Genomic DNA, 27,276 nt, shown 5'->3' with positions numbered 1-27,276 from the left:
CACGCTCCGTCACCACTGTTCACAGAGCTGCCCCAATACACCCCAGCACCTCCTAACACGCTCCATCACCATTGTTCACAGAGCTGCCCCTGGTACACCCCAGCACCTCCTGACACGCTCCATCACCACTGTTCACAGAGCTGCCCGATACACCCCAGCACCTCCTAACACGCTCCATCACCATTGTTCACAGAGCTGCCCCGGCCCACCCCAGCACCTCCTAACACACTCCGTCACCACTGTTCACAGAGCTGCCCCTGGTCCACCCCAGCACCTCCTAACATGCTCCATCACCATTGTTCACAGAGCTGCCCCTGATACACGCCAGCACCTCCTAACATGCTGTCACCACTGTTGACTGTGCCTGTAGCTGACCACTGGCTGCATGAGCAGAAGGGCTGGCCCCCACACTGGCTAGTTCAGGAGTGACTCTCGGGACCATGGCTGTGCTGCTGGCCCTCCATCCTCTACCCCTGCTCATTGAAGAGCCACTGAGCCTTAAATGAATTTAAAGGGTTTTCAAGGATCATTTTAAATATTAACAATATCCCATTATTTGCAGACTTTGGTTATGCACAGGTACATATGTGCATGTGTGTACATAGCAACTGTCCCTGTATACACACATGCTCACGTTAGTATACGTATGCATGTGTGTACCTAGTGACTCGCCTGTATACATGCATGCTCGTATTAGTACATACATCACATGGGTACATAGCAACTCGCCTATATACACACATGCTCACGTTAGGACATGCACTGTGTGTACATGACGACTAGCCTGTATACTGTATGCTCATGTTAGGACATATACACGTGTGTACATAGCAACTTACCTGTATACACACATGCTCACGGTAGCAGTTGAGCTACTCGGTCTGTTGTCTCTGTCCTTTCCAGAGTGGTGTTTAGTTACTTTGATTTCTTCCATTACTGTGATTATCTGTGTTATCTGTGATTCAAAGATCTAAATGTGAAAAAGCAAATCTGTAATACAAAGAAATAGAAAATATTTTATTACCTCTGTATTTAGGAAATCAAAGCTAAAAGCTAAAACTCAGACTGGAATAACCCTCACGTCCTTTAGAGCCGTAATTTGAATACATTTGCCCTAACATAAAGTAAAAATCACACAAGACCACACTGTAAGTTTTTCTTCACAAAGACCCCCCAGAAGCGGGAGGGGGATGCAGCAGGCAGGCCTTTGTCCTTGAGGGGGATGAGGCTGGCTCTTCCCTCTTCCATCTAAAGAGGGCCCCGCACCCCCTTCTGCAGCCTCCCCAGCATGACGGTCCCATAGCAGCCATGGAGCCACAAAACTGCAGTGCGGGAGTGTGAAGCCTCGTAGAACCCACCTGAGAGATGGGCCTCTGTGGAGAACTCCTTGGTGGTAGCAAAAAACACAAGAATAACAATTCTAGTTCCCTACAAATCAGCCGGTTCAGAGCTGTCCCTCAAAATCCTGGCCGTCTCAGTGTTAAAGAAGTGCGACCTCTCTCCGCCCTGGGTGGCGCCATCCAGACAAGGTGGGGCAGATAGTGCCCTCTCTCCCCTCTGTCTCCCACTCTCTGTCTCTCCTTCCCTCTTTCTCCAAGCCCAGCGGATCCATTTCTCCTCCCGGCTGTGATCATGACAAGCGTCCCCGTTTCTTCCTTCTACCCCTGAGCCCCCCCTTCTTAAACTTGACCCACGTTGACCTCCACACCATTACGTCTGAATGGGTCGCCTGCAACTCATTAAAATCCACGACTGCAGCACAGATGAAAGATGAAGCGGATTAACCGGGGGCTCCGATGTATCCGTGAGATTGACTCTTCGCTGTAGGCAATGGAATCTTTTCTCTTTTTCTTAACAATCAATCAAGAGTGAATTAAACAGAAGGGTTTCCGAAGACGCTCATTATCTCCATTCCTCGAAACAGCCCCTCCCCATTGCTCCAGCCTCTGCCCCTCACAAGCCGGCTGTGCCATCCCTGCGTGTGGGCCTGCACTGGGCCATTCATTTTTCCTCGCCCCTGGGAAGAGTGGCGACCACCACTTCTTGGCGACGACTATGGGGTCCTCCCCGTGGGCACAATCAGGAGTTGGCAATGCCCCATACCCGAGGCCCTTTCATGTCAAACCCATTCACGTAGGCTGCGACTCACTGCAACCTGATGCCAGCGGCCGGCCGCCAGCTCGGGGTTCTGTCACCAGGGCAGCGCTGGCCAGCAGCGAGGCAGGGGACGCCAAGCTCACAGGGAGAGGGATTTCATTTCTCTTCTGCTCACATTTTTCTCATTAAAAATTTCAAAACCTCCCAAGACTCAGAAGTAATTGCAGCAGATTTCTAGTTCAAGCCCCTTTATTTGCTACAAGAACCAAAGGATGGGGGCGTGAAGCGATCAGCCACGCACAGGCGTCGGACCTACGGGGCGCTGGACACGGAGGTCCTTCCCGCTCAGCACAAGGTTGGTAAGAAACTCAACTTCCCTCTGATAATAATACCTTGCTCAGAATCTTACTTGAATCATAGATGTTTTAGAGCTGAGAGGGAAACATTTTAAATCCCATTCCTTTATTTTTCAAATGAGGAAACTGAGGTCTACATAGTTTAAAAGACCTGCCCAAGGGCCCACTCACCCCTCCAGCCAGGTAGCCTTCTGTGTTGCGGTGTTGAAAAACCCTGGGTCCCATCGAATCGTGGTGGAAGATTCACTGAGAGGCCCGATACTGTGGGCCTCTCTCAGCAGAGCCCAGGCTGATCTCACGACCGATGCATTCCCAAGGAGTTCAGAGAAGGCGGACGGAGTTAAGGGCATGGACTGATGAGGTCTCTGCGGCTGCATCTCGGAGGAACTCTAGAGGCGCCTACATACATTAACATACATTAAGATGTATAACTTTACACTCTATCGATGTAAACATAGAATCCGACACAGCAATACTTCCGTAAAATACAATAAAAATAAAATATGAGAAAAATCAAAGGTAACAAAAATTAAAATACTACAAAATAGAAGCCTATTTTAAATGTACCACATTCAACCGATTGTCAAATTCTGGCAAAATTCCTAAATGTTGCTGAATGTCTCCATCCACCTTAGTTTGCAGGGCACACCTCGCCCAACCACTCGGCTGTCAACCCCACATTAGTGAGGGAAATGGATCGAACATTCGGATGTTTTTTTAAAAGAACATATTTCCATTTCATAACAGTTATTTTATGGAAATTAGAAAGACATAGACAATATTTAGTCACTTTGTTAAACTTAGAAAATAAGTGTAACAAATTACAAACGCCCTGCTCATTACATCTTAAGTGCTTAGAAATGTTTTCTTGTCTCAGATGGGCTTTTAAGAAAGTTAAAACCATTTTGAGGTCTCAACCACTTCAATGTCCCTGTAGATTTTCTCTCTCTTCTTAGTGTGGATATTTTCCTTCTATTGGAGAATTGCCCGCTCAGTACTTCACTTAAAAACTTTAGTACAACATTGCTCTGGTACAACATTCCATAATCAAATGGAAATAACCAAGTATGATGACGGTGTGGAACGTGCCCCATGAGCTGAAAGTAAACATGACAGCCGTGCATTGTAAGTCCACAGAGACGTGGGGAGGACAGCCATGTGGAAATGCATCCACGCCTGTTCTTACAAGAAAAAGTAATCGGCTGCTCGCTTAAGCACCTGCAACTCAGGTGCTCTGTCCCTGCAAAGGGAAGCGGAAAGCTGTGCTGGGCGGAGCTGCTCTGACCACAGCGGGAACACAGCCTGGTCAGCACGGAGCAACTGGCTGGGTGTTCTCCTGGGGGCCTCCGGTCGGATCTCAAGAAAGCCGGGTTCTGGTTGTTGCTTCCCCACCGGCTGGCTGCATGGCCGTGGGAGGGGCTGTGTATCCTCTGGGACTCCATAAGAAAACTGGGTTGGCTGCTCCACAGAAGCGGTCTCTCTCTCTCTCTCTCTCCCCCTCCGCTTTCCTGAGCAGGTGTGCGGCTTCCAGGGTCTATTTGCTCAATGCTCATTGGGTTTCACTTTCCAGGTTTGGGAAGACAATTTCGATAACAAAGCATCTAATCTTTCGAATTGCCCCTACCTGGAGTTTTAAAAGGCGTTAAGACATGAGGAAGCTGACTCTCATCACTGCTTCTGGCTAGCACAGTGCAGGTGAGGAACAGCCCACTGAAGTGTATGGAATGTAAAAGTTCATGCGTCATTTTTTAAATCCAGGTCTCACTACTTTATAACACTATACAATTGGTTCCACATGCAAGATTTTCTGTAAGGCAGCAAATATCCCATTTGCACCCAGTGAGTTGGAGCCCAGGCTTGGCTCCCTCATCCTCTTGCTCCACTTCCAGGAGGAGCGGTTGGCGCGGGTGGCTGGCCGGCATCTGCGTGGGGCAGGCAGGTGGTGACCGTACACCGTGTTTGCTTGACTGGATGCAGCAGGCTGATGGTGGGGTCAGAAGCTGTGAGAATGAAGGTCTGCATCCAAAGTGGCCGGGCCCCTGGGGAGATGAGGCCACCCACAAACGGTGGGCACTTGTCAGGAGCAGCAGGTGTTTCATGGACAAGGCAGCTCTGCCTGGGGCTTGCAGGATGAGTCCTCAGCCCGGAATTGGTAGAATCACAGCTTAGTGCACCCGGCCACACGCCGACCTCCAGCAGCCCTTAACAAAGGGGCTCAGATGAAGGAATGTTCCGGAAATCAGAAAAGCTGAGCATGAGGACAAACAGCACGGACACAGCCTGGGAGAAGATTGTCCCGGTGATGTTGCTGCTCTCTGCAAGGGGGCTAAGGGTGCGGCCGTCTGTCTCGGTCCCAGTAGCCCAGGCAGAGAGCAGTGCCATTCCACCTGTTCATAAACCAGAAGGCCTCTGAGACAAGTCTCAATGGATTCAGATGTTTATTTTGCCAAGATAGAGGACATGCCCATGACAGCCTCAGGGGTACCTGACAACAAGCGTCCCAGGTGGTCAGGGTACAGCTTGCTTTTTTGTAGATTTTGGGGAGACATAAGTCATCCATCAAGACATGTAAGGTGCATAGGGGTTTGGTCCAGGAAGGCAGGACAACTGGAAGTGGTGGTGGGGGCTTCCAGGTCATAGGTGTATTCAAAGATTTTCTGATTGGCAGTCGGTTGAAAGAGTTAAGTTTTTACCTAAAGGCCTGGAATCCATAGAAAGCAGAGCCTGGTTAAGGTAAGGGCTGTGGAGACCAAGTTCTTATAATGCAGACGCAGCCTCCAGGGCGCAGACTCAGAAAGAACCCACAGCAAGTGTCTCTTATCAGACTTATAAGGTGCCAGACTTTTAGTTAATTCTCTCTTAGATCAGGGAAAAGGCCTGGAAAGGGAGAGGGATTCTCTACAGAATGTAGATTTTCCTACAACAGACAGCTTTGCAGGGACATTCCAAAATATGTCAACAAAATATATTTTAGGGTAAAATACTTCCATTTGCTTTAGGGCCTGCTGTCATGGGATGCTATACTAGACTCAGGACGGAATTCAGTCATTCCTACAAAAAGTCTTAAGATCTCTGTTTTAATGTGAATGCTGGTCAGTTGTGTCTGAACTCCAAAGGGAGGAGGGTATAAGGAGGCCCGTCTGACACCTCCCACTTCCCATCGTGGCCTAAGCTAGATTTTCAGGTTAACTTCAGAATGCCTTTCACTGAGACAAGGAGCCCATTCAGACTGTTGGGGGCTTAGGACGTGACTTTCAGCTTACCTGCTGGAGCAGCCTTGTCTTTATAAGACACACAGAAGCGCCTGTGACCTATGTTTCCACACAGTTTCTAGGGAGACTTGGATGATCCCAGTAATTCAGGGCATCTCATGATGCCAAGAGTCCCAAGCACTGAGTTACAGGGCAGGAGCTGTTCTATCGCACCCACAGTGCAAACAGTCCCTCTGTTAGGAAAACAGAGACTCTGGGGCTTCTATTCTCATCGATGACAGCATTTTCCTTTCTTTTTTTAAAAAATTTCTTCTAAAAAAAAAAAAAACAGGATACATGTGCAGAACGTGCAGGTTTCTTACATAGGTACATGTATGCCATGGTGGTTTGCTGCACCTACTGACCCGTCCGTTCCCTCTCCTCACCCCACCTTCCAACAGGCCCTGGTGTGTGATGTTCCCCTCCCTGTGTCCATGTGTTCTCAATGTTCAGCTCCCACTCATGAGTGAGAACATGCGGTGTTTGGTTTTCTGTTCCTGTGTTAGTTTGCTGAGGATGATGACTTCCAGCTCCATCCATGTCCCTGTAAAGGACGTGAACTTACCCTTTTTATGGCTGCATAGTATCCCATGGTGTATATGTACCACATTTTCTTTATCTAGTCTATCATTGATGGGCCTTTGGGTAGGTTCTATGTCTTTGCTATTGTAAACAGTGCTGCAATAAGCATACGTGTGCATGTGTCTTTATAGGAGAATGCTTTAGATTCCTTTGGGTATATGCCCAGTAATGGAATTGCCGGGTCAAATGGTATTTCTGGTTCTGTATCCTTGAGGCATCGTCATACTATATGACAGCACTTTCATGGATGTAAATAAGGAGGCACTGCCTCCAGCATTATATTTACACCCATATGTGTATATTTGCCCAAATTTACATAGACATACATTGATATAGGCATTTATTTACATGTATACTTTTGTACATACATAATTACGTAAATAGCTCACTTCCTTACGGCTTTGTCTACTTAGAAGTGTTCGTGTTTTCTTCATCTCGTGAATGTTTGCCATTGTACAGATCTACCCATCCAGTCTGGGATACTCAGTGGCTTCCTGATAAACTGATGTAAAAGATTTGAGAGAAGAACTGGAGACGTATATTGCTCTTTAAAAAGCAGGATATGGGCCTGGCGTGGTGGCTCACGCCTGTCATCCCAGCACTTTGGGAGGCTGAGGTGGGTGGATCACGTGAGGCCGGGAGTTCGAAACCAGCCTGGCCAACATGGTGAAACCCCGTTTCTACTAAAAAATACAAAAATTAGCAGGGCATGGTGGTGGGTGCCTTAATCCCAGCTACTCGGGAGGCGGAGGCAGGAGAATCACTTGAACCCGGGAGGCAGAGGTTGCGGTGAGCCGAGAGAGATCGCACTATTGCACTCCAGCCTGAGGACAAGAATGAGACTCCGTCTCAAAAAAAAAAAAAAAAAAAAAAAGTGGCCTATGGCAATGGATTTCGTTTGCTTGTTTTAAGGCTGCACATTTGCCAAGTGCTCTGCCCGGCATGTCTGTGATGTGAGGAGACTCTAAGCGTAAATGAGAAAGGCTGAGAAACGATGCTTTTTTTTCTTTTTTTTCACTTTCCTTTAATTCTTGAAAAGACTACCCAGAAACATACAAGTGGGTATTTGAGATAACTGGACCAAGTTTTGACCCACCGCTAGTTCAGGCAGTTACAGCTTTCCAGCAACGGCTCCTAAATATCATCATCAATTCACAAAAGTTCCCTCCCTCTCAGTGTTCCCTTGTTCATCATTCTTAATTTCTGAAACATGCACAGGAACTTTGCTCAGAGGCAGGAGTTAAGGACGTCAGGAAGAAGCATGGTGAGGAAGTCGGGAACATAGCATCTAAACCTCCAGAGCTGGCTTTTCACCTCTGTCCGGCCACCTTCTTGGCATCGTGGATCTCTTGGGGGATGAACGAGCGGAGGCCTGCCAAAGGACCCAGCCCGGCTCATGGCCCAGAGCTGGGGCCGCAGCAGCCAAAGGCCTGCAGAGGAGGGCAAGGCAGCCTGCTGGAGGGAGCATGCTGCTGTCCACACCCCAGGCTGGAGGTCAGTCCAGGGCACACACGGAGGCCCGGAAGGACGGTCAACCCAGCTCTGAGTACAGATAGTGATGAGCCTGGCCAGCGTGAGCCTGGGATGCAGGCTCCAAGCAGCCCTCAGCCTGGTCGTGTGGTCACAGCATAGCCACACCCCACACTCACAGTGGCCACTGCAGGGCCTGCCACTCAGCTTCTGACCCATGGTCCTTCGGGCCGGCCGCCTCCGTCCCCATGCTACCCCTGCAGCCGAGACCACCTGTCCACCCCCATCGTGCTGGAGCTAATGGAGGATGAAAGCTGATGAGCCGGTTTCTTTTCTACACCTGATATCCAGTCCTCACCTCTCCTGCTCCTGCTGTCTCTGAGCTGGCAGACTGCCCCACCCAGAGCTTGTCCTAGGAACCCCAGAGCCGTGCAGCCTTGAGCCTTTCCCCAGCCGGGGGCAGGGGTGAAGGATCATGAGGCCGTGGATACCTTGTCAGGTCCTGTGGTGTCTGAGGGCAGGCCCCTGATGGGACTTGAAAGGGGACAGACAGAGCCCCTGGGGAGCCCTGGCATCTGGAACGGAAAATGCAGCTTATCGTGTATCTTTGAATATAACCAGCCTGATGTTTGGGGAGAGATCAGGTGCTGAAACAGGGGCTGGAAAACTGAGAGGTGCTGATGATTCTCGTGATCCTGAGCAGCCTCGAACGCTGGCCTCCAGGTACTCACATGATAGAGGATGCCTCCCAGGACACAGGGGAACCTTCATTTCCCTTTCTCCCTTTACAGTGGAACCCTGGGTGGCTCATTGAGTTCCCTGAGGCTCAGTTTCCCATCTGAAAATGGCATTGATGTCACCCCTGGCTGTGAGAGGTTGTGAAGATTAAGTGAGAAGCTGCATGAGAGCACTCGTGTGCCTCTGACAGTCGGTAGGTACTCAGCCAAGGGGTCTGCACCAGGCTCAGTGTTCAGCCAAGGGGCCTGCACCAAGCTAAGTGCTCAGCTGAGAGCCCTGCACCAAGCTCATTGCTCACCCAATGGGCCTGCCCCAAGCTAAGTACTCAGCCAAGGGGCCTGCACCAAGCTAAGTGCTCAGCTGAGAGGCCTGCAACAAGCTCAGTGCTCAGCCGAGGGGTCTGCACCCAGCTCAGTGCTCACCCAACGGGCCTGCACCAAGCTAAGTACCCAGCCGAGGGCCTGCACCAAGCTCAGTGCTCACCCAATGGGCCTGCACCAAGCTCAGTGCTCAGCTGAGGGGCCTGCACCAAGCTAGGTACTCAGCCGAGGGGCCTGCACTAAGCTCAGTGCTCACCCAATGGGCCTGCACAAAGCTAAGTACTCAGCCGAGGGGCCTGCACCAAGCTAAGTGCTCAGTCGAGGGGCCTGCACCAGCCTCTTGTGAACTTGCTTGGCCTGCACCCTACATAAACCATGTGGTGTAAATCCCCTTTCCCTTAGGCCTGTGCTGTCACCATACAAAGACCCGCTGTGATGCCAGGTCTGATTGTAAGCTTGCGGTGTGCACAGTACTTAGTACACGATTTGTGTTGGTTACTTGCACAGGTAACCAGGGGCTTGGCCAGGTACCCAGCTATGGGTCAAAGCCCAGTCTAGACGTTGGCATGAAGGTATCTTTTAGATGAGATTAGCATTTAAATCAATAAACTTTGAGCAAAGCAGGGGACCTCCGTAACGTGGGTGGGCCTCATCCATGTGGTTGGAGACTTAAGATAAAAAAGTTGGTGATTCCTTGAGGAAGGACTTCTGCCTCCAGACTCCCCGCGGGTACAAGCTGCAACATCAGCTCTCCCCAGGCTCCAGTCTGCAGCCTATTCTGCAGATTTTGGACTTAACTCCAGCAATCTCATGAGCCAATTCCTGACAGCAGATCCCCTCTCTCTCCCTCTCTCCTTCCTGTTGGTTCTGTTTCTCCAGAGAACCCTGACTAATATATCCTATTAGTTAATTTTGACTCTATTACAGTCTCCTATTTTCTGCTTATCATGCCATGCATGACCATTCTATCGTTCATTCGGTGAGTATTTATTAAGAACCTATTGTTGCTTGGTGCCTCCCTGACAGGTAACTAGACCACTTACTATGCTATTGGAAGATTAGCTGTTTGGTACACAGACTGCCTGATACAGAAGCAGCAGTCAATGGTGATGATGATGACATTACAAAAGTTATAATTAGCATGTAAAACATGAAGCATGACACCTGACCCGTCACAGCACAACTCAGTGTTTCTTGATGGAGGGAAAAAATAGTAACTAGTGTGTAGCTTCATTGGGATCTTGATTCTTTATCTGAAGCATGGTCAACATGCTTTAATGTTATCAGTTTGCCCGCTGTGGTAACAAGCTTCTGGAAACAAATCATAGATTTGCAACTTACTTTTCTCAGATACATTTTTCCATCATTATCAACATGGTACTCCCCTTGGAAAGGAATCTAATGTAAAATGTAATGTCAATGTAAAATGTAAAAACGCTGAATAAGTTGGGTCCCCTCTCAATGATTAGCTGTTCTGTGAATATTGGTGAGAAGACACTGCTGTGATGTTGAGCTCAGAAACCACGTCTGCATGTTGATGTTCTGAGTGCCTGGTCATTCCAGGCGCTAAATCAGTGCTTCTTCAGTGAAGGAATAAGTGAATGGATGGTTTTAGATCCACAGATTGGCTTTAAAGAGCTGGCAATGCATATGCAACTTATTTTTAGGTAGGACTTTCCAAAATTTAAAAATCACACGCACACACATACACACACACACACACACTCTCTCTCTGTGTGTCTCTCTGTCTCTCTCTCTCTCCCTGTCTTTCTCTGTCTCTTTCTTTTTCTCTCTCTCTCTCTCCCTCTCTCTCTCTCTCCGTCTCTTTCTCTCTCCTTCTCTCTCTCTCCCTCTCTCTCCGTCTCTTTCTGTCTCTCTCTCTTTCTCTCTCTCCCTCTCTCTGTCTCTTTCTCCATCTCTCTCTGTCTCTTTCTCTCTCTCTCCTTCCCTCCCTCTCTCTCTCTCTCTCTCTCTCTCTCTCCATAGATAGCAGCCAGCACAAGGTCAGTTGCTGAGCTTTTCTAACTGGATGACGTCCCTGACAAATGAATAACACCCAGTGGGCTGGCATCCTGAGGAATGGGGTTGTGTACATTGTCCCTTTAATACACAAATTCTGAGAGAAGAGAAATAGGCTTTATTCTCTTCTGCCCATTACCCATCACACTATTCAAACTTCCAGTGGATAAAACAATGGGAAGTATCTCTGCCAAGCCATTCTTTAACTCTAAAATCCCTCACTGCTGGTCCCAAGATCTTGAAATAATACTCCCAAAAGTGTTTCCATTCTAGAATCATAGGAACTGGAAAAATTAACATCCTTTTTCACTAAGTGAAATTTGAGTGTAATGCAATTTGTGATCACCGAGGAACAAAGTGATACACGGGAATTAATCATCACTTATGTGAAGAAGTTTGGGTGGAAATGTTTACAATGATCGTTGGTGTACTGAAATTCAAAAAATGAAAGAAAGCTGTTTGGGCTGACAGCTGGTTCAAGTTAAATTAAATTTGACTCAGAATATTAATTTTAAATACCATATAAATGAATGCAGGTTACACACCCTGCATTATTTCATAAAGTATTATGAGACTTAAAGTTTTAAGATGTGATTTTGCCCCTGCCTCGGGGTGGAGGCGCTTAGGAGCCTACTCAGCCACTTACAAGGGGCCTTAGCAAATGTGCAGTCTCATGGTTTAGGAAAAACCTCTTAAAGTTTTGCAAATGTCACTCATGGTGCAAATTATCTAATATAGTCTAAGGGAAGGGGAGGTATTGAGCAATTCTGATTACAAATACAAAGATTGCACATGTACAAGTTATGTACAAGTTCAACACCTAAACAGCCCACTGGGGTTCACCAACCACAGCGCCCAGGGAGGCACAGGACCTGGAGTGGGGACTGGGAATTGTGGTCTCTGAAACACACACAGGCATTACACACTCCGCCATACGTGCAGGCCTGGGGTTCAGCTCACAGGCTTGATGGAGTGGGTGTTTTTAAACCCCTTAGCAATTCCAAAGTAAGTGTTATTTTACTTTATAGAATCCTGGGTTCTGGAACAATTCATTTTCCCTAATGATGAATGGACTGATTCATTTCTGCATTTGTTAATATCTAAAGTGATTTCTTTTTCTAGATAACGTTCCCTAAAACCTCCCAAAGATCACGTGACTAAGGCCAAGTAAAACTACAGCGAAGAGGTGGAGAGACATCTGAATTAAGATCCCTTCAGAGAATCAATGCAAATTAAAAGTTAGCAAATCACCCAAAGAGAGAGCGGCCTGTGGGGAAATCTAACAGTGTTCTTTACATTTCAGATCCCATTTTTGATCCAAGCTAAAATACAAGTCACCCCAAATTAATTGCAGCAAACATATTGTGGTGGCAAATTAAGTCTTCTTAGTCATTTATATCTTGGAGATATTCTGCACACGGGCCGACACACGAAGAAGCGTTTCGTGTCCCTCCTGGCCTTGGTGATTTCTTTTCAGAAAAGCACCGGGGGGCCAATCAACTGTCAAATTACGTTTCCCTGTGCTGGGCTTATCCAAGAGCAATCTCCTGTTGACTTTATTGCACATTTTATAATTGTATAATTTCACAAGTCTTCCATGGATATCGTCATTACAATAATTTAGGGCTATGGAAACTCAGGGATCACAGGCAGTTCCTCCCATGGGTCACCACGGTTACTTAAGACCATGACCGACCTGCCAGCCCTGGTCATTCAGACTTGGGAACTAGAACTGGCAGACATTTCTCAAAAATGAGGGAGTCTGTCATTTCAAGGATGACGGCTGACAGTTTTTGTTGCCTATGATAAAAATTCAAGCATCACTATGAAAGTGACAATCCCAAAGACCTTGTGTCTCCCTCTGTGAGCCTGTCACTGGCTTAAAGGGTGTTTTGAGGACATCTGTGGGGAGGTCAACAGAAATGCTTTTTATATTGTGTAGTGAGAAGTGTCAACATTTGGAAGATCTGCAGAACTCAGTGAGCTGATTGTTTCCACTGCGGGATGGTATAAAGTGACGAGCAAGCGAAGACCATCTGCGGTGCCACGGGCCCATGGATGCCGACACAGGGGCAGGTGCATGCCCAGGCAATAGGGCTCAGATCCCACACAACAGCGCACCTTTAAGAAGCTACCACCTTTGGGGCTTGGGGGTGGTATCAAAGAATCACCACAATTACCTAGGAAAGGTTATTAAAATAATCTCCTCTTTCCTAATACATTTGGGAGTGACACTGAGTATTCACTGCACACTTCAAACCCACACAGATGGAGTGCGGGAGTGGCCTCAGACTCTGGCTGCCTTCCGGGAAGTCAGACACTGGATTTGCAATAGAAAGTATAGCACTCTTGTCAGTCAAGATGGTTTGGTTCAAAAATTACATTTATTTTTCATTACACGTTATTTATGTTGGCATGTAATGGATTTACTATTGTGCTTTTAATTAAAGAATAAAAACATTTTAAGTTTTTTTAGTTTAATTTCTAGTAGGATAAATAACAATAGACAGAACCCACTTCATCAATCCGTCTAATTTTCCTGCCAGAGTAATAATGTATTCCTAACTTTGTTCATTTCTTGCTTTTAAAATGTAGACCTTGAAAAGACTAAATACATAGAAATGTAGACGTTGCCTGGAGTTTTTATTTTCAATATCAGGTTACATTTCATTTTGTATTTAAGTATACAAAATGAATATCAAATAATGCATTTTCAAGCAAATGTATAGATGAGTGAATTTTGTCTGGGGCCAGAGGGCTATGACGCAGAGCTCTGTAACTGACCACCTGCAGTGACCTCGCCTGCTCCTGGGCGGGCTTCAGTCTTGTGTGACCCTCACGCCCACGGTGAAAATCCCCGAAATGGGGTTCTATTTGCTGGAAGATTTCTTCTTTAATTGCATTATGTTATTTTTACATCTAGCTGCTCTTACCCTGAGAAATTGTTCATATTCTGTGTTCCATTTCAGTTTTTCATAAAGTAACCTAAAAAACTGACCACTTGGAAAATGAAACACATAGTTGTAAGATTAATAGATCCTTCTGCCCTCGAGTCCCCTCCCGAGGACCCAGTCAATCCTGAGCCCTGAATCACAAACAAACAAAAAGGGCGGTGTATCTTGTGCATTTTCTGTCTCCTTTTTCTCGCTTGTTTTCAATTTTTCTTTGGATTTGTTAGTGTATCAGAGGTTTATAAAAGCATGGGTGTGGACTCTGAAGGAATTTCACTTATCTTTCAAAAGATGTGAAAACAAATTCTATTTTCCTGGTACAGATTTGCTTCGAAGTACCTCTTTAACCTACCTTTCTTCACAGACAGCGCAAGGGAACATTAATGAATAAAACTTGCCTTTATATTTTTAACAATCTTTTCTAGGCAACATATTTTTGGAATTTATCAGTCCCCGTACGCCTAGAATACCTGACCCCTTTCTTCGGATGTGGTTGCGGCGGGACAAGAACCAAGGTGGTCTTTGCTGTGGACTGAGCTCAAAGCACACGTCGCTGTCATGGCGGGGAACGGGCTGGAAGACGCTCCGGAAATGACCGGGGCGAATGGGATTCAGCATCCGGGCTGCCGCTGCCTCTCAGGGGCTCCCTGCAAACGTGGCCGGCGGAGGGAAGGAGTGTCCTGGTGGAGCTCTGGTCGCAGGGAGCATTCCTCAAATGAACGCGGTTCCAATCAACCGGGTCCGGCCAAAAGGCAGATTCCAGCTCAGTAGCTCAGAGGCCTGATTCTGCATCTCAGCCGGCGTCAGGCCACCCCCGTGCTGTCGGGTCCACTCGGAGCGGGCAGGTCCTGGGCACACTGGAGAGTGCAGAAGCTGGTGGCTTTGTTCCATTTCTGTATACAATCCTGTCTCCCCTCTCCCTGCTGCTGGCTCCCCCTTCCTCTTTCTCCCTCTCCTCCATCCTGCCTCCTCCTCTCTGCCCCCGCCCCACCTATTCCCCCATCCTCACCAGACACTCACCCAGTGCGGCCCACCTGACCCTGCCCCAACCATCCTCTTACTCAGAAATCCGTTTGCTTGTGATGTAATAATATTTTGGAACATCTCATATCCCTTCTCCTCACAGACTTCTCACTCTATCACCAATGTTAAAAGACAAACTTCAGACAAACTGAATGTCACAGAGCTTCATTGAGCAAATGACTGTTGGTGAATGGGGCAGCCCTGGACCCAGCATAGGCTCAGGGCGGCTCCGTCGCTGTCGCGTGGTCCGGTTAGATTTGTGGACAGAGAAAGGACAGTGATGCCAAGAAAACTGGACGGAGGCACAGAAACAGCCAGACGGGCACCGCTTGGCGTGGGCCTCATTTAAACACAGTTTGAACCGGGCCACGGTGCATGGTGACGCCTGGCTGCTGTGATCCGCTGAGATGCGGCTGCTTGGGGCAAGGGTGGGTTAGGTCTGTTGGCACGCCCAGTTAGGTGACAGTCACTAAGTGTGGAGAGGTCTTCAGGCTGACCCTAAAATATGTAAGGAGGCAGCTTTAGGCTAAACTTGACGTCACACAGAATACCACCATCTAGGCTGTCAACCCAGTGGAACGTGAGGACAATTTTCTTCTTCAATGTTTTGATTAATTGGATTAATAGGGGTGGAATAATCAGATAATTTTTCACCAAAATTCATGTTTTCCTTCAGAAATTTTCCAGTTAGGTTGCCTAAAGCAAAAAATTCACAAGAGAAGTGTCAAATATCTGCTTGACTTAAAACTTTTGTATACACAGCTTCTATTTTTTAATATATTATATTTAAGATATTTAGGTAACATCTCTTTTCCTTCTCATTTGTAAGACAAGGCGCTTATCTTCAACCAAAATTTCCAGGTAATTATTTAGTTCTTAGAAACCCAGATATGGAAAACCTTCTCTTCCTTAGAGTTGTAGGAAGGCAACTTTTAACAGATTCTTGGGTACATTATTCAAAATTCTGGCAAAATTCTCGAGTTCATGTATGGCAATTATAGAAAATATCTTCTCACATGTTGGATATTATCATCAAAGATCTCGGTCAAATTTTGTTTTTATCTATGTAATCAGAAATGAAAAAGAGAAGTCTATAATTCCTTGTCAATCATAAAGCATTGTGGGTAAAATATGTTTCTTTTGGGGCCTGACCCATGTGCTGTTGAGCTACACTGAAAAAAAGTGAATGTATCTTGTAGTCTACATTTTACTCTCAGAAATTTCCTGTCATGAAATTAGCAGTTTTTTTTTTAAATCCCCATGGCAGAAAAAAAAAAAAAAGCATTTTTCCTAAGTAAAGATCTAATTTAGAAGAGCAATGGGAAAGTCACCTTGTTTTCACCTTTCTTTATTAGGAATTTTGTTGGCTATTTCCCTTCCTACCCCATTTTTACACAGGACAGAAATATCGGATCCTGATAGTATTTTCAAAAATCATTTTGTCAGTCTCTAAGGATGGAAAGTTAAACAGCACCATTGATTTTCGAGGCAGGTCTTCAGGACCCCAGGGCTCTTTTACATGTTTTGCTTTATTCTTTAGTAGCCTGGTGATTAGGCATTGGCACATGTGACCTGCTTAGTAAAAATGTAATGCTGTGGTAAACAAAAAAAATCACAATCATTATAAACTCAGAATGGATATCTGTGGTCACTGTGGAGAAGAGACAAGCCCTGCCTTGTCAGTGTTGATCCAGGCTGGATTCAAAGCACAAGCTCTTCCAAAAGAGTTTCTTCCCTGTTGTTTGCTCACTCATAGAATTACCCACCCACAAATTTGCCCAGAGTATTGACAACCAAGTGTATCCCATGAGTGCCAAAGTAGTCAAATAAATTATAGTTTCTTTAATGAACTCGTTTTCCTAAACGAATGCCAGATGTTCTACAGGTGGCCTGAAAAGATGCCAGAATTCCCCGATTTCCATGAATAATAGGAAACCTGTCAAGAAGAGTAAGCAAAGATACATCATTCTCAAAGTCTGCCTGCATTCCTGATTTTTTAACTCTTTGTCAGCCACACAAGAAACAATTATTTTTTATATCAAAATAAATGTTTGTATTGACTGAAAATTCCTGATTTATGTGTCCATGCTGTGTAATAAATGAGACTTTCACCTTGGCATTCCAAGTGCACTGAAACCCTTCCGCATCGTGCACCAATGTGCAGAAGATGCATGGTGGGGCAGGAACTTCACGGGCCCTCTGGAGCAGCTACCAGTGCAGGACAAGAGCCACAGGGCCACGAGATTGCTCAGCCTTCCTTCATTCTGCAGTCTCTGCTTAAAGGAGGCCTTACTGCACTCCTGTTAGGACAGGAACTCCACCACTAACATAACGCTGTCCTCGCACCTCAAAGCCCTGAAAACCCCAGGTCTACTTGTCTCACGTTAACACATCTGCATTTTATGTCTGATGTTTGCCTGAGTAGCTTTTTTCTTTTATTTTACGTTTCACCTATATTTATAGTTTGTTTCTTGTAGGCAGCATATATTTCAGTCCTGTTATTTTATCCAGTCTGACAATCTTTTTTTTTAAATGGATTGTTTAAAACAATAACATTTTTAAAATCTTTTAAATACATATTCAGCATGCAGGATTCTGAGGGAATACAAAAAATAAATGAAGGCCGGGCGTGGTGGCGCATGCCTGTAATCCCAGCACTTCGGGAGGCCAAGGCAGGAGGATCACCTGAGGTCAGGAGTTCAAGACCAGCCTGACCAGCCTGGCCAATGTGTTAAAACCCCATCTCTACTAAAAATACAAAAATTAGCCAGGCATGGTGGCACATGCCTGTAATCCCAGCTACTCGGGAGGCTGTGACAGGAGAATAGCGTGAACCTGGGAGGCAGAAGTTGCAGTGAGCCTAGATTGTGCCACTGCACTCCAGCCTGGGTGACAGAGTGAGACTCTGTCTCAAAAAATAAAAATAAAAAAAAATATGGATGTAATGGAATTTTTAAGCTCACAGAGCAAGTCTTTAGGGATCTTATCACATTTTATTTTTAGTTTTTATTATGTATGTATATTTAGCTGTAACATAAAATAAGCTATATATGTTGGAAGCATATAATTTGATAAGTTTTATTTCATTTTTTGCATCTTTACTGTGGTATAATATTTAATAAGTTGCACATTTTTTTGTGTGCAATTTGAAAGGCTTGCGGTAGGTATATATCTGTGCCCCTTTGTGATCTCTCATTTTTACCTTGTCCTCCCTCTATCCCCAGGCAACCACTGACACAGAAGATGAGCTTGCATTTTCCTGACGTCTAGACTGATGGGCCATAGAGTATGTGGTCCTTTGAGACCATTCGTATTTAACATGATGATCAACATGGTTGAGGCTAAAGCCACACGTTTGCTCTTAGGTTTCTATTTTGCCCATCTGGTTTTTGTTTGAAACAAATTTTTATGTCATCTTCATTTTTTTCACAGCTTTATTGTGGTACAATTTATATGTCATAATATTCACCCATTGTAAATGCATAATTGAATGATTTTCATTGAATTTATGGAGTTATGATGTAACACCATAATTCAGTTTTAAACATTCCCATGACCCCCAAAATTTCCGTCATGCCTCGAGTTCACCTCCAGTCTCTTAGCCCCCCCGAATACTGATTTCTTTCTCCACAGATTTTTCTAGAAATTGCATGAACGTAAAACACTCAATACACATGCCTCTGTGTCTGCCCTCTCTATTCTACACGATGTGTTTATGACTCATTCAGGGTTTTGAATGCATGGGTAGCTGCTTTTTCCTAATTGGTAAATAATACCCAACAGTATGAAAGTGTCACCACAATGTGCTTATTCACGTGTCTCCTTATGGACACTTAGGTCGTTTCTAATTTGGAGCTATTATGAGTAATGGTGCTATGAACATTCAGATTCAAGTCTTTGTGTGGACATGTGCTTTCCTTTATCTTGGGTGTATTTATAGGACCGAACTGCTGATTTACACAGTAAGTAGATGCATATTTTTTAATAAACTGCCAATCTCTTTCCAGTGAATGTTTTCCAATGCTTGTACCATTGAACATTCCCACCAGCACTGTAGGAAAGCACCGGTCTCTTCTTCAACGCCTGGTAACCTCAGACTTTGGGACGACAGCCATTCTGTTAGGAAGGCATCGGTCTCTTCTTCAATGCCTGGTAAACTCAGACTTTGAGACGACAGCCATTCTGTTAGGAAGGCATCGGTCTCTTCCTCAACGCCTGGTAACCTCAGACTTTGGGACGACAGCCATTCTGTTAGGAAGGCATCGGTCTCTTCTTCAATGCCTGGTAACCTCAGACTTTGAGACGACAGCCATTCTGTTAGGAAGGCATCGGTCTCTTCCTCAACGCCTGGTAACCTCAGACTTTGGGACGACAGCCATTCTGTTAGGAAGGCATCGGTCTCTTCCTCAACGCCTGGTAACCTCAGACTTTGGGACGACAGCCATTCTGTTAGGAAGGCATCGGTCTCTTCCTCAACGCCTGGTAAACTCAGACTTTGGGACGACAGCCATTCTGTTAGGAAGGCATCGGTCTCTTCCTCAACGCCTGGTAACCTCAGACTTTGGGACGACAGCCATTCTGTTAGGAAGGCATCGGTCTCTTCTTCAACGCCTGGTAACCTCAGACTTTGAGACGACAGCCATTCTGTTAGGAAGGCATCAGTCTCTTCCTCAACGCCTGGTAACCTCAGACTTTGGGACGACAGCCATTCTGTTGGGTGTGTTGTGGCCTGCCTGCCATTTCCCTGTCTTCTGACTTCCATAGTATCTGTCATGAAGCCCACAGTCGTCATTCTCACCTTTGCACCTCAGCATGGAATGGGTCTTTTCTCTCCAGCTACTTTTAAAATGTTTTCTTTACCACCCGTTTTCAGCAATTTGATTGTGGTAGGCCTTGTAAGTATTTATTGTGTGTCTGTGTGTATGTGTATGCTTTTTTACTTGAGATTACTTGAGCTTCCTAGATCTATTCACTTAGAGTTTTCATCAAATTTAGAAATGTTTTGGCCCCTATTTGTTCAAATGTTGTTCTCTCATTTCCTTTACTCCTTCTGGGATCCCAGGTATAATTATGTGACACCTTGGTGTTGTTCCACAGGTTACTGAGACTTCGTCTCAAAAATAAAAAAAGAGTTTCACTCTCGTCACACAGGCTGGAGTGCAATGGTGCAATCTTGGCTCACTGCAACCTCCGCCTCCCGAGTTCAAGCTATTCTCCTGCCTCAGCCACCTGAGTAGCTGGGACTACAGGTATGCAGCCACCATGCCTGGCTAATTTTTGTATTTTTTAGTACAAATGGGGTTTCACCATGTTGGCCAGGCTGGTCTTGAACTCCTAACCTCAAGTGGTACTCCTGCCTCGGCCTCCCAAAGTACTGGGATTACAGGTGTGAGCCACTGCACCTGGCATGAGATTGTATCTTTTTCCTTAGTCTTTTCATTTTCTGTGCATTGTTTCCAATTTACTTGATTGCTATTTTATTAAATCCACTCATCTGCTTTAGGAAAACATATGGTCAAACTCAATCATCTAGATTTTGAGAATAAATTTTTGGATTTTGAAGCTACAGCCTTCTCAGTCAAAAAGTTCTTAACTAGGAAAGGTTTAAGCAAAGCAAGGCTATGGGCTGCTGCCTGTGGATTTTTTTTATTTTTGTATGTTTTTAAATAAAGTTTTAGCTGGGCACAGTAGCTCACACTTGTAATCCCAAATACTTTGAGAGGCTGAGGTGGAAGGATTGCTTAAGCCCATGAATTTGAGACTAGCCTGGCCAACATAGTGAGATAATGAGAAAACTTCTCTACAAAAAATAAAAAATATTAGCCAGGTATGGTGACACATGCCTGTAGTCCCAGCTGAGGTGGGAGGATTGCTTGAGACCAGGAGCTTGAAGCTACTGTGAGCCATGATCAGGCCACTGCACTCCAACCTGGGAGACAGAGTGAGACCTTGTCTCAAAAAAATAAAAATAAAGTTTGATTGGAGCATAGCTATGCTTATTTATTTACGAATTCTATGATTTGTTGTGATTTACGTTGACAAAATTCAGTAGGTAAACCTGAGACCATATGGCTTGCAAGGCCTGAAACACTATCTTACTGTTTACATAAAAGGTTACATAAATCATAATCTGGAATATTCTAGAGGGCATGCACTGAACTGGACTGGGTGATGGATATTTAGGGCTTTGACCACTTTTTATCCCAAGTATCCCCACTGTTTTTCATTTATATAGAAATTTTATCCTTCCAAAAAAGCATTATTTTATTTCATGCAATATTTAATGGAATATATAAACTTGTGTATAATTGGTTTTCTTCACTAAATTTCAGCTAGTAACAGGCATTGCCTAGTTTAACACGAGTTTGCTACTCCACTACGAAGGAGAAATGCTTGAGTCCCGTTGAGAGTCACAGAGCCTAAGTGTTCAGGAGCTCCGAAGCAGGCACACAGTGCCCCCGAGCTTCGAGCTCAAGTGGCACATGTGCCTCTCGGTAAGGTTGCCATCTTTGCAGCTGCCACAGACAGCCCTCTGGACTGCCACACGCCTGGGTGTGGTGCACGCCTCCCTCTCACTGCTCCTAGCTGTCCAAGAGGCAGCCTGAGGTGCAGACCTCCTGGAGGGGAAGGGGGCACCTGGATTCCAGGGCTGGCGTTTGTCTCGCTTGAGCCATTCCTGGAGTTAGAAGCACTTAGGCATCCAAGTGCAACTAACCGGAAAGAGGTTGTTCCTTTGGGAACTACCATTTAGCTAGCCCTCTAAAAGTTTCATGGCTATACCTGCATAAAAGTGAATCTGGCCGGGCGTGGTGGCTCACTTCTATAATCCCAGCACTTTGGGAGGCCGAGGCGGGTGGATCACCTGAAGTCAGGAGATTGAGACCATCCTGGCCAACATGGTGAAACCCCGTCTCTACTAAAAATACAAAAATTAGCTGGGCGTGGTGGTGCGCGCCTATAGTCCCAGCTACTCAGGAGGCTGAGACAGGAGAATCGCTCGAACCTAGGAGGCAGAGGGTGCAGTGAGCCAAGATTGTGCCACTGCACTCTAGCCTGGCGACAGAGCGAGACTGCATCTCAAAAAAAAAAAAAAAAAAAAAAAAAAAAAAGGGAATCTGTTTTCTGCTCTAGTGTCAAATTGGATGCATTGGGTGAGACATAGGAGAAAAAGGACTACCCGGCACACAAACACATGGCAACAGTTACCTTCCACTTGCAAGAAACATTCCTCACACACAAACACACATGCGAAGGATTCTCCCTGTGCCCTCCCAACATACAATTACCATCAGCATCTCCTCCTTCATCTGCAGGACACTTCCCTGGAATCCCATCTTCCTTCTGCCATTTTTCCAACACACACAGTACCAGAACAATGATAAAGTTTTTGTTTGTTTGTTTTTTGAGACAAAATCTCACTCTGTCACCCAGGCTGGAGTGCAGTGGCACAATCTCAGCTCACTGCAACCTCTGCCTCCCAGGTTCAAGTGATTTTCCTAACTCGGCCTCCCTAGTAGTTGGGACTACAGGCAAGCGCCACCACGCCCGGCTAATGTTTGTATTTTTACTAGAGATGGGGTTTCACCATGTTGACCAGGCTGGTCTCAAACTCCTGACCTCAAATGACCCACCTGCCTCGGCCTCCCAAAGTGCTGGGATGACAGGTGTGATCCACCCTGCCCGGCCAGAACAATGTTAAGTTTTCTAAAGATGATATTAGTTAATCATCACTACTGTGCTGTGAGGTAAGAGCTATTATCATTCCTATTTGCAGACATGGAAACAGAAGCTTAGAAAGATCAAATGAGCCCAGTTGATGAGTAAGTGTGCTGGGTAGTGTTCTATTAATGAATTCACAACCATTTACTTGCATGTGTGTCCATATATTGAGAGAGTATTTGCAGAAAAGGTGATTCCTATGGAATTTCATAAATTAATACATCAAATAGATCTTCGATAATGCTGTTTCTCAAAATATTTTGTTGTCTATTCTGTAGCTTAAATTTTGATTTAAAAATATCAATCTTAAAAGGCAAAAGTGTCATAATCCCGATGTGTATGGTTCAATTCTATCTGCCATGCCACTCCACACAGCACCTGTGTTTGTCTCTTCCCAGCAGTGGGGCTCCCTGTTTCGGGAATAGAGAGAAGAGTGATGGCTGCAGCTGGAGAACCCTCCAAATGTCCTCTGCAGAGAGAGTAAGAGTTGCTCTTTCGCTTCCCACAGGGAGAGCAGCTGCCCTGTTGACTCTGCTGCCCCTGTGCAGTTTCAGTCCAGGCCGTTTCCATTCTCCGTGGAAAAGCCCGCTGGCCCAGGGTGTCAGCAGCCCCACGGGCAGCATCTGCCTAGGACTTGGTGTCCCCAGGCTTGGCCGGGCTCTAGGTCTATGCACGAGGCGGGTGGAGACAAGGTCTTCTCCTCCATGTCTCCAAAAGACTGTCGGTCTCCCACAAACTTCTGGGAAATCCATCCGATGTTTGTCCGATACATAAGGATGCAATTTCATGCATGACAGCTCAATAAAGCATATTTAATATATTCAACTCTTCAAATTTAAACCAGACACCTGGCTTGAGTGAAATTTCCAGTTGAGTTAATATCCCTCCCAGCCTCTGACATTTGTAACTGTTCACATGTTAATCCAAACCATTCACTCGTTCACCTTAGTAAAAGCATATTTTGGGATTTTATGTGCTGGGATTTGACATCAAAGAATTGTTTTTATTATAGAGCTTTTACTAGCCAAGTCTGAATTCGGAACAGGTCCTGTTCAGCAGTAGAGCCTGGTGAGCAGTCATGCTTCATAATAAAACAGGTGAGCTGTGATCTGTCAGACCCTAAACAGAAGTCCCCCCATCTGGAACCTTTGGGAAGAATCCTTGTGCTTTGTGCAAATGAAATTTATCTGGCCTTTCCTCCGATTACTTTCACTTTCATTTTCTTTCTCAGAAGATATTTTTTCTGGATCATGACAGCTCAGAACCGTTTGGCTAGGTTATGTGAAAGGTCTCAGATTCACAGTCTGTGGACTACTCTGGGACATTGTAACTTTGGATCAGGTAGATGTCTACTGGAATCACAGTATTAAATGTAAAAACAGAACAAAAGGCCCTGTTGAGCTGTGAAGAGGATGGTTATTCTGTGCCCCATTCCAGCCCCAGCCCCAGCCCCAGCCCCTGCCCTATTCTAAGGTGACCACTAGCCCTATCTTGGCTGCGTCCCCAGGGGTCAGCGGCTAGCACTGGGTGCAGCCAAGTGGGGGAGAGCTCTGGGCCGCGAGCAAGGTGTGGGGCCACCCGTGGCCAGGTGGGCTTCAGCTGCATCCTCATGGTTCTCACGGCACCCCTAAAAAGGGCTCTGGAAACCTAAGCCCTGTGTACTCTGCTTCAATGCAGAAATGCATGTTCCTCCTCCTGTATCTCTCGGGATAATCCCACCATAACCTCATTCTGCAGGTTCATGATGCTCCCTCCTTCTGCTCCCCAAAACAATGGTGTTAGGGATATTGAATCTGACACACAAAGGCAGACTCTAAGAAGAAAATCTACATGCTTTCTCTAAAAACAAACTGAAATACCTGTGAATCAAAGCAAAAGCTTTTGGGTTCCCCACGCCTGCTGATTGTCCTCACCCCCTCTCAAGGTGGTGGTGGGGAAGGTCAGGTGCCCTTCAGGGTCTCCAGATGAAGGCCTGCTCCCAACAACTACTTGAGACACTGACTTCTCCTTTCTTTAGGAAAAATGCCACTGTTTATGGTTAATTATTAAGCTAGAAATAGACTCAGTAAATCAGCTTAACCCACCAAGAGAGGTGAAGGGATGGAAGCAGGAAGACACGGAGATTAGGGTGGGAATCCACTTGTTGTTTTCGACAGTATGAATGTTCTTCATGAAGTGTTAAGAAGTAATTTTCTTTATCCACAGATGTTTGAAAAAGAGAAAATTGGCTTAAATTTTAAAAAAGCAAAACAAAACAAAATGTTTCAGTTTTACACAAGGAAAAACTCAACTGGAAAACAAAAGTAAACGCAGTCCCTTGAGGACGTGTTAGCACCGAGTGGGGCTGGGGCTCCAGGTGCAGCCTGCTCTGTGGAGTTGGGGGTCCAAGGTGTCCAAGGTGGGGACAGTGGGGAAGCTCAGGCCGGTGGCCTCATTGTCCTACAGGGCCCAGCGCCAGTGTGCACAGTGGGGGTGAAGCCATGTCTGCGCGCGAGAGCCGTGAGCACTTCAGGTGAGGCTTGCCAGGGCCTGAAGGCAGGCCCATGCCACCTCTGCCCACAAGGCCCGTGCCACCTCTGCCCACAAGGCCCGTGCCACCTCTGCCCACAAAGTCCGTGCCACCTCTGCCCACAAGGCCCATGCCACCTCTGCCCACAAGGTCCGTGCCACCTCTGCCCACAAGGCCCGTGCCACCTCTGCCCACAAGGTCCGTGCCACCTCTGCCCACAAGGCCCGTGCCACCTCTTCCCACAAGGTCCATGCCACCTCTTCCCACAAGGTCCGTGCCACCTCTTCCCACAAGGTCCGTGCCACCTCTGCCCACAAGGCCCGTGCCACCTCTGCCCACAAGGTCCGTGCCACCTCTGCCCACAAGGCCCGTGCCACCTCTTCCCACAAGGTCCGTGCCACCTCTGCCCACAAGGCCCGTGCCACCTCTGCCCACAAGGCCCATGCCACCTCTTCCCACAAGGCCCATGCCACCTCTGCGCACAAGGCCCGTGCCACCTCTGCCCACAAGGTCCGTGCCACCTCTGCGCACAAGGCCCGTGCCACCTCTGCCCACAAGGCCCGTGCCACCTCTTCCCACAAGGTCCATGCCACCTCTTCCCACAAGGCCCGTGCCACCTCTGCCCACAAGGCCCGTGCCACCTCTGCCCACAAGGCCCATGCCACCTCTGCCCACAAGGCCCATGCCACCTCTTCCCACAAGGTCCATGCCACCTCTGCCCACAAGGCCCGTGCCACCTCTGCCCACAAGGCCTGTGCCACCTCTGCCCACCCCTGCAGATCCCAAGCTGGGCAGGAAAGCCTCCTCTCCACACCTCATGTGCACATGTTTCTGGACAGTTACCCACCCTGTCCTCCAGGGAGACAAGCTTCTTCTATGGGCTGAGATTCTTTGGAAGTGCGTATTACACCTGAGCCACCAGTGGGAATGACCAACGGAGCAGGCCCTGCCTGGAAATGACAGGGGAGGACTCGCCTGCGGGCTTCGCTTCCTACCAGCTCACCCTGTGTGTCAGGGGCTCAGGGGCCGCGCATCCCTCAAGGGTCCTGAGGCAATGCTTTGTGAAGACTCTGTGTTCTTGACAATCTCTTGGGGTCTGTACTGGGGTGGGGCCACTGTGCTTCTCCATTTGGCAGGATGAGGAGAAGCTGGGGAAGTGAGTGGGGACGGGAATGGGGGTTAAAATACAGCCCCAGGCACCGGTGTGGGGTTCCAGTGCCCATCGAGGGGCACTGCAGCCTCAGATGTGTCCTGGAACCCTAGCAACATCCTCACATTTGTCATCTTTTCTTTCCTCCACTCCTCTTCTTCTTCTTCTTCCTCTTTTCTTCTTCTTCTTTCTTTTTCTTTTTTGAGACACAGTCTCGCTCTGTCACCCAGGCTGGAGTGCAGTGGTGCAATCATAGCTCACTGCAGCCTTGACCTCCCAGGCGCAAGTGATCCTCCCACCTCAGCCTCCCAAAGTGCTGGGACTACAGGCATGAACCACTGCACCTGGCCCATCTTCTTTCTTATCTAAACATTTCTCCATAGAGCATGTGAGGGAAATCCTTCAAAGGAAGAGGAACTATGCAAACGTCTTCATGACAGTGACCGAATAGGGCTGCCCACGTTGGGCAGGGCGGCCGGTCTCCAGGGAGAGGCCCCCCCTAGGGCCGGGTGCTGCCTCTGGGCTCTGGCCCAGCTCCCCAGCTCACTGGGAAAACTCACAGACCTTCTGCTTCAACAGAACTCATTGCTGCTCAAAATTATTATCCTGAAGAAATGCAAAGCATTTACTTTATATCAGCCTTTTCTCAAGTTCTTTGTCAAAACATGGATTTATTCTAAGATCCTAGTGAAATTTTGTTCTTATAATCACTGATTTGAGGCCTCAACCCCAAACTCAACACTTTTTTAGAGTGTTTTAATCCACTTTCATTTAGTTTTTATCCCATTCTATACACTTTGAGGTGGCAGCCTATACAGCATCTGATGCAAATGAGTGCTTACAATTCAATAATTTAGTGCTTCCAGAAACTGTCCGACTATTACCTGGGAGCATTGCTATGAATGAAGAATCCCTCAGCCCCTTGCTAAATACTAAGTCAGAGCCTCTGGGAGGGCTGTGGAATAGGGAGGTTTAACACCCGTCCAAGGTCAGTCCCCTGAAGGTCACTGTGGTCGGGCCGGACTGGCGTGGTCCTACTGAGATGCCGAAGGGGAGGCCCCTCCTCTGGCCTCACACCCAGACCAGCCAAG

General features: G+C 46.8%; 1 long non-coding RNA gene across 1 annotated transcript, besides 2 other annotated features; it reads right to left on the bottom strand.

Annotated features, from left to right (window-relative positions):
• Window positions 7,286-7,888: an enhancer, noted in NCBI's record as "H3K4me1 hESC enhancer chr6:169267872-169268474 (GRCh37/hg19 assembly coordinates)". NCBI's record gives its function as "activates a minimal SCP1, AML or CMV promoter by ChIP-STARR-seq in naive H9 embryonic stem cells {active_cell/tissue: H9 hESC(naive)}" and the evidence as "EXISTENCE:reporter gene assay evidence [ECO:0000049][PMID:30033119]".
• Window positions 7,889-8,492: an enhancer, noted in NCBI's record as "H3K4me1 hESC enhancer chr6:169267268-169267871 (GRCh37/hg19 assembly coordinates)". NCBI's record gives its function as "activates a minimal SCP1, AML or CMV promoter by ChIP-STARR-seq in naive H9 embryonic stem cells {active_cell/tissue: H9 hESC(naive)}" and the evidence as "EXISTENCE:reporter gene assay evidence [ECO:0000049][PMID:30033119]".
• On the bottom strand, window positions 13,199-14,843 carry LOC105378144 (uncharacterized). Its single transcript, XR_943297.2, has 2 exons — window positions 14,805-14,843; window positions 13,199-14,641 (listed from the first exon to the last, which is right to left on the bottom strand). It is a non-coding gene; the product is annotated as an uncharacterized LOC105378144 (long non-coding RNA).
• Window positions 14,844-27,276: the final 12,433 nt, after the last annotated feature.

Source organism: Homo sapiens, chromosome 6 (assembly GCF_000001405.40).
Source record: "Homo sapiens chromosome 6, GRCh38.p14 Primary Assembly".
In the NCBI taxonomy this organism is placed as follows: domain Eukaryota; kingdom Metazoa; phylum Chordata; class Mammalia; order Primates; family Hominidae; genus Homo; species Homo sapiens.
The sequence above is the reverse complement of the archived record's forward strand: the minus strand, read 5'-3'. Positions and strand labels throughout refer to the sequence as shown.